Here is a 6,000-nt window from a genome sequence, read left to right as displayed (position 1 = left end):
AAAAAAAAAAAGAGCCCTCCTTCCTTCCTTCCTTCCTTTTTTCCTTCCTTTCTATGTCTATATTTATATTTTCTCCTATTCTCTCTTAATCCCACTCCAATCAGACTTTTGTTCCCACCAACCTACCTACACTCTCTCCTGTCAAAACAATGTCCTCCACTTTGTAAATCAGCTCTTTGTTCTTTTCTTTTCTGACCCCTCAGCAGCATCTGACACAGGGGATCAGGGGATCAACACTCCTTCCATGAAACACGTTTTTCACTTGGTCCCCAGGACACTTACCCCACTGGCTGCTCCTTCTCAGGCTCCTTTGCTGGTTGCTTGTCTCTTACTGTTGGATGCCCCAGGGCGCAGTCCTTGGTCCTCCTTCTCTGTCTACACTCATTCCCTGGGCAATTTCACCCAGCCTTATGGCTATTTACTTATTTATTTATTTTTGAGACAGTTTCTTCCTTGTCGCCCAGGCTGGAGTGCAGTGGCTCGATCTCAGCTCACTGCAACCTCCGCCTCCCGGGTTCAAGCAATTCTCCTGCCTCAGCCTCCTGGGTAGCTGGGATTACAGGCACACACCGCCACACCCAGCTAATTTTTGTATTTTTAATAGAGACGGGGTTTTACCATGTTGGCCAGGCTGGTCTCAGACTCCTGACTTCAAGTGATCTGCCTACCTCAGCCTCCCAAAGTGCTGGGATTACAGGTGTGAGCCACCATGCCTGGCCCCTCATGGCTTTAAAAACCATTTCTCTGTTGATGACTCAGTAGTAGTCTGCTCAAACTACCATAACAAAATGCCACAGACTGAGAGGATTAAACAACAGAAATTTATTTTCTCACAGTTCAGCCTCTCACTGAGAGGCTGGAAATCTGAGATCAAGGTGCTGTCAGGGAGGGTTTCTGGTGAAGGCTCTCTGCCTGGCTTGTAAATGGCTGCCTTCTTGCTGTGTCCTCACACAGCATTTCCTCTGAGCACCTGCATGGGGAGAGAATGAGCTCTGATATCTCATCTTCCTGTAAGGACAATAGTCCTGTTGAATTAGGGCCCACTCTATGATCTCTTTTAACCTCCTTTAAAGACCCTGTCTCCAAATAGTGTCACATTGGGTGTTAGGGTTTCAATATATAAATTTGGGGAGGACAAAATTTAGTACATAGTAACTCCCAAAAATTACGTCTCCAGCTTGGACCTCTCTCCTGGGCTCAGATTCATACATCTAACTTCTGATTAGTCATCTGCACTTGGAAGTCTCATAGCTCACTTAAATTTAACAAGTCGCAAATGGAACTGCTAATTCCTCCTCTCTTTCTCCCCCTGCCCCAAGAAGTTCTCTTCTATAGCCTTCTTCATCTCAGTTACTGGCAAATTCCTTCTTTCAGTTCCTCAGGCCAGAAGCCTTGGAGTCATCCTCAATTCTTTTTTTCCTCAAACACCCCATACCACACCTATCAGTAAATTCTTTTGATTTTACTTTGAAAAGAACCTCGGAGTCCAACTTTGGTTCAAAGCAACACCATCTCTTGTCTGGCTTGTGGTAGTAGCTTCTTATCTTTTCTCCCTGCTTCAGCCCTCATTCCCGGTCCATCTAGTCCACACTTAGCAGCTGGACAAATCCTATAAAAATGCATAGCAGAGCCTGCTCTCCACCTGGTCAAAACCCTCCCATAGCTCCCCACCTCATTCAGAGCAGAAGCAAGTCCTCACGATAGCCCTACATGGCTGTGCACAATCCAGTACCTTGTGAACCTCTGAGACATTGTCCCCCTTCTGTCCAAACCTCCTGCATCAAACAGGCTGGTCCCAGAAGAACAAAAGACACATGCAGTAGACCTGAATTTGAGTCAACCCCAGCAGAGCCGAGACGAGATCAGCCACTCCCTCGGCTCAGCTGCCCTATCTACTGACCATTCCTGAAATTCACCAGGCATGAGCCTACTTCACGGTCTTTGCCCATCCGAATTCTCTCTGCTTGGGACAATCTTCTCCCACATACTTTCTGGCTCCCCGCCTCACTTCCTCTTGGATTTGGTCAAGTTTCACCTTCCGTTGAAGTTTTGTTGATGATCACATTTGAAATTTTACCTCAGCACTCCCTCTCCTTCCCTGCTTTATTTTCTTCCATAACACTCATCACCAGCTGCCATTCCATACATCTCTCCGCAGAACATAAGATCCTTGAGAACAGGGGCTTGTTTTGTTCACAGTTGCACCCCCAATAATAGTAGTTCTCATGCATTACACCCTTGCTATATGCCAGTGTATTTTTAAGGCGTTTCCTGTATTCATTTATTTAACCCTGAAAAAAGCCCTATGATGTGAATCTGTTAGTTGGCTATTCCTATAATAATGTTGCATATCAAACTGCCCCAAGACTCTGTGCTGACAGAAGCAAACATTGATTTCTCCCTCTCTCATATGTAGTCATTTGGGTTTGGCTGATCTTGGCTGGGTTCTGCTGGGGTTGACTCAATTTCAGATCTACTATGTGTGTCCTTTATTCTTCTAGGACTAGCCTGTTTGATGCTGGAGGATTGGACAGAAGCTACTGCTTTCCCAAATTGAGACAGAGCATTCTCTTCCCACCTCTTTAGCTTCCGCTCATTCAAAAATATGGAGTTCACGAAAAACTATAAATTATAATTTAATTAATGCAAACTAAAACTAAAGAGTAAAGAACTATTCTTATCTCAGACTTGCCTACTACAGCCTTGATTGGAAGTCTGTTTCAAAAGATGTAAGGCACCAATGACAGCTCGCCCTTCAAGGAAGAGGTGAAAATTCTAAGACAGCCAATTGAAAACAAGAGAGACCTCTTAAGGCCTAGGCTGGAATTTGCACATTGTAACTGATATGTATATTCCACTAGCCAAAGCAAACCATATGGCCAAGCCTAATATTAATGGGGCAGGAAAATATTAATTGCCCCTGGCTGGGTGAGAAAGTGAACAGTCACTGAACAGTAATCTAATTTGCCACAAAATATGTAATGCTATATCCTTTTCTTTCTTTTCTCTTTTTCTTTCTCTCTCTCTCTTCCTTTTTCTTTCTTTCTTTCTTTCTTTCTTTCTTTATTTCTTTCTTTCTTTCCTTTGAGACAGAGTTTTGCTCTGTCACTCAGCTGGAGTGCAGTGGCACAATCTCGGCTCACTGCAACCTCCACTTTCCAGGTTCAAGCAATTCTCCCTGCCTCAGCCTCCCGAGTAGCTGGGATTACAGCCATGTGCCACCATGCCCGGCTAATTTTTGTATTTTTACTAGAGACAGGGTTTCTCTGTGTTGGCCAGGCTGGTCTCAAACTCCTGACCTCAGGTGATCCACCCACCTCAGCCTCCCAAAGTGCTGGAATTACAGGCATGAGCCACCACACCTGGTCTTTTCTTTCATTTTTTTAAAAAAAGATGTGGAAATTGAGGCTCAGAGAGATCTAATAACTTATCCAACTATATGCTGCTAGTAAGTGACAGAGCTGGAATCCAACCAAGTTGGAGTCAAACTTACAAACACCCAATGTACAAGGCCAAAGGGTTTGGACTTTCTGTGTAGACAATGCAATACCATTGAAAACTCTTAGACAAAAATGGAACATGATGGTTAATGAGCTTTCCCCCAGCAGCAGGCAGGATGAACTACAGAGGGAGAGAGGAGGGGCCCTCAAGGTAGCCACAAAACTTCGGGTCAGAATTGATAAGGGGTTGGGCTGGGGTGGTATCAAAAAAGAAAACAAAAAACAATAAAAATAAAACCAAATAGAAAAAGACATAGGTGGGAGCCAAGTTGAAGGACATTTTAAAAGCATTTTCTTCTTTATAAGGTATTGAAATAAAAATTTATGATTGCTATAAAAAAATTCAAAGAAGGCCAGGCTTTGTGCCTGTAATTCCAGCACTTTGCGAGGCCAAGGCGGGAGGATCACTTGAACCCAGGAGTTTGTGACCAGCATGGCCAGCATGGGGAGACCCTATCTCTACAAAACATAAAAATAAATTAGCCAGGCATGATGGCACACACTTGTGGTCTCAACTACTTGGGAGACTGAGGTGCAAGGACTACTTGAGCCCTGGAGGTTGAGGCTGCAGCAAGCTGTGACCATTGCCACTGCACTTCAGCCTGGGCAACAGAGCAAGAATCTGTCTCAAAAAAAAAAAAAAAAAAAAAAAAATATTCAAGCAACACAAACAGAGGTGTTTAAATAAAAGTTTTCTCCTTTTCTCCTCTTCAAAGATAAGCTCCATTAATAGTTTGTAGTAAATTCTTCCTGAATTTATCTAAAACTATAAGACATATAGATCTACTAATTTATTGTATTTATTTATTTTTTTTGAGACAGAGTCGCGCTCTGTTGCCCAGGCTGGAGTGCAGTGGTGCAATCTCAGCTCACTGCAAGCTCTGCCTCCCGGGTTCACGCCATTCTCCTGCCTCAGCCTCCTGAGTAGCTGGGACTACAGGCACCCACCACCATGCCCGGCTAATTTTTGTATTTTTAGTAGAGACAAGTTTTCACCGTGTTAGCCAGGGTGGTCTCGATCTCCTGACCTTGTGATCCACCCGCCTTGGCCTCCCAAAGTGCTGGGATTACAGGCATCAGCCACCGCGCCCGGCCTACTAATTTTTATAAGACATAAAAATTTTTATTCTACTAATTTTTATAAGACATACATCTCCAGCTGAACGCAGTGGCTCATGCCTGTAATCCCAGGACTTTGGGAGGCCAAGACAGGCAATCACCTGAGGTCAGGAGTTCAAGACCAGCCTGGCCAACATGGTGAAATCCCATCTCTACTAAAAATACAAAAATTAGCTGGGCATGGTGGGCACCTGTAATCCCAGCTACTCGGGAGGTTGAGGCAGGAGAATCGCTTGAACCCAGAAGGCGGAGGTTGCAGTGAGCCAAGATGGCATCATTGGACTCCACCCTGGGCAACAAGAGTGAAACTCCATCTCAGAAAAAAAAAAGACACACATCTCCTAATTATTTAAATGTGCTTTTTAAATGTTTTCTGATCAAACTACTGTTTGTCTCTTGCTTTGTATCGTATAACAGAATGTCAGGGCCAGATTTCTATGTCAGGACATAATACTGTCTTCATTCTTTTCAATGGCTTTGTCACTTGCTGTGTGACATTGGACTAGTTGTTTAACCTCTCTGAGACTTGGTGTTCTTAATCTCTAAAATGGGGATTAAAAATGTACTGGCCACAGAGAGCTGTTGTGAGGATTAAATGAGTTAATAGATGTAAAGCATCTTGTACAGTGTCTGACACATATTAAGTGCTCAAAAATGTTAGTTCTCATTGCTGTGAATAGCCCCATGTCTGGCTGTACCATAATTTCTTTAACCAGTTCCATGCCTACGATTACTTATGTGATATAATGTTTGCAAAGGTGGCCACAACAATTCCACCCTCCTTATACACATGACTCCTTGCAGTATGATTTGATGTTTTTCTCATGAAGAGATGGAATCTATTTCTACTCTCCTTGAATCTGAGCTGGCCATATGACTGCCTTTGATCGATATAATACAGTGAAAATGATGCTATATCATTTCTAAGCCTAGATCTGAAGAGATCTTGCTGCTTTTGTTTTCTTTCTTCTGGGGGCCGTCATGTAAGTAAGCCTGAGTTAGCTTACTGAAGAAGCAACATGGAGGAGAACCAAGGCACTCAAGCCAACAACCCCAACCAACTGCCAGACATGTGAATGAGGCCATGGAGTTCTAACCAGTTTGCTGGCCTGTTCACTGACAGCAAACGTAAGAGTAAGCCAGGAAAGACCACTTGGAGCAGAAAAGAGCTGTCCTGGCTGAGACATGTCCAAACTGCCAATCCACACAAACATAAAATATTGTTGTTTTAAGCCACTATATTGTGGGGTGATTTTGTTAAGCAGCAATAGAAAGCAAATACACTTAGGTTCTTAGTGCATGATTAAAACTTTTGCCTGTAATTCTAGCACTTTGGGAGGCCAAGGCAGGGGAACTGCTTGAGCCTAGGAGTTCAAGACCA

Source organism: Homo sapiens, chromosome 20 (assembly GCF_000001405.40).
Source record: "Homo sapiens chromosome 20, GRCh38.p14 Primary Assembly".
NCBI lineage: Eukaryota > Metazoa > Chordata > Mammalia > Primates > Hominidae > Homo > Homo sapiens.
The sequence above is the reverse complement of the archived record's forward strand: the minus strand, read 5'-3'. Positions refer to the sequence as shown.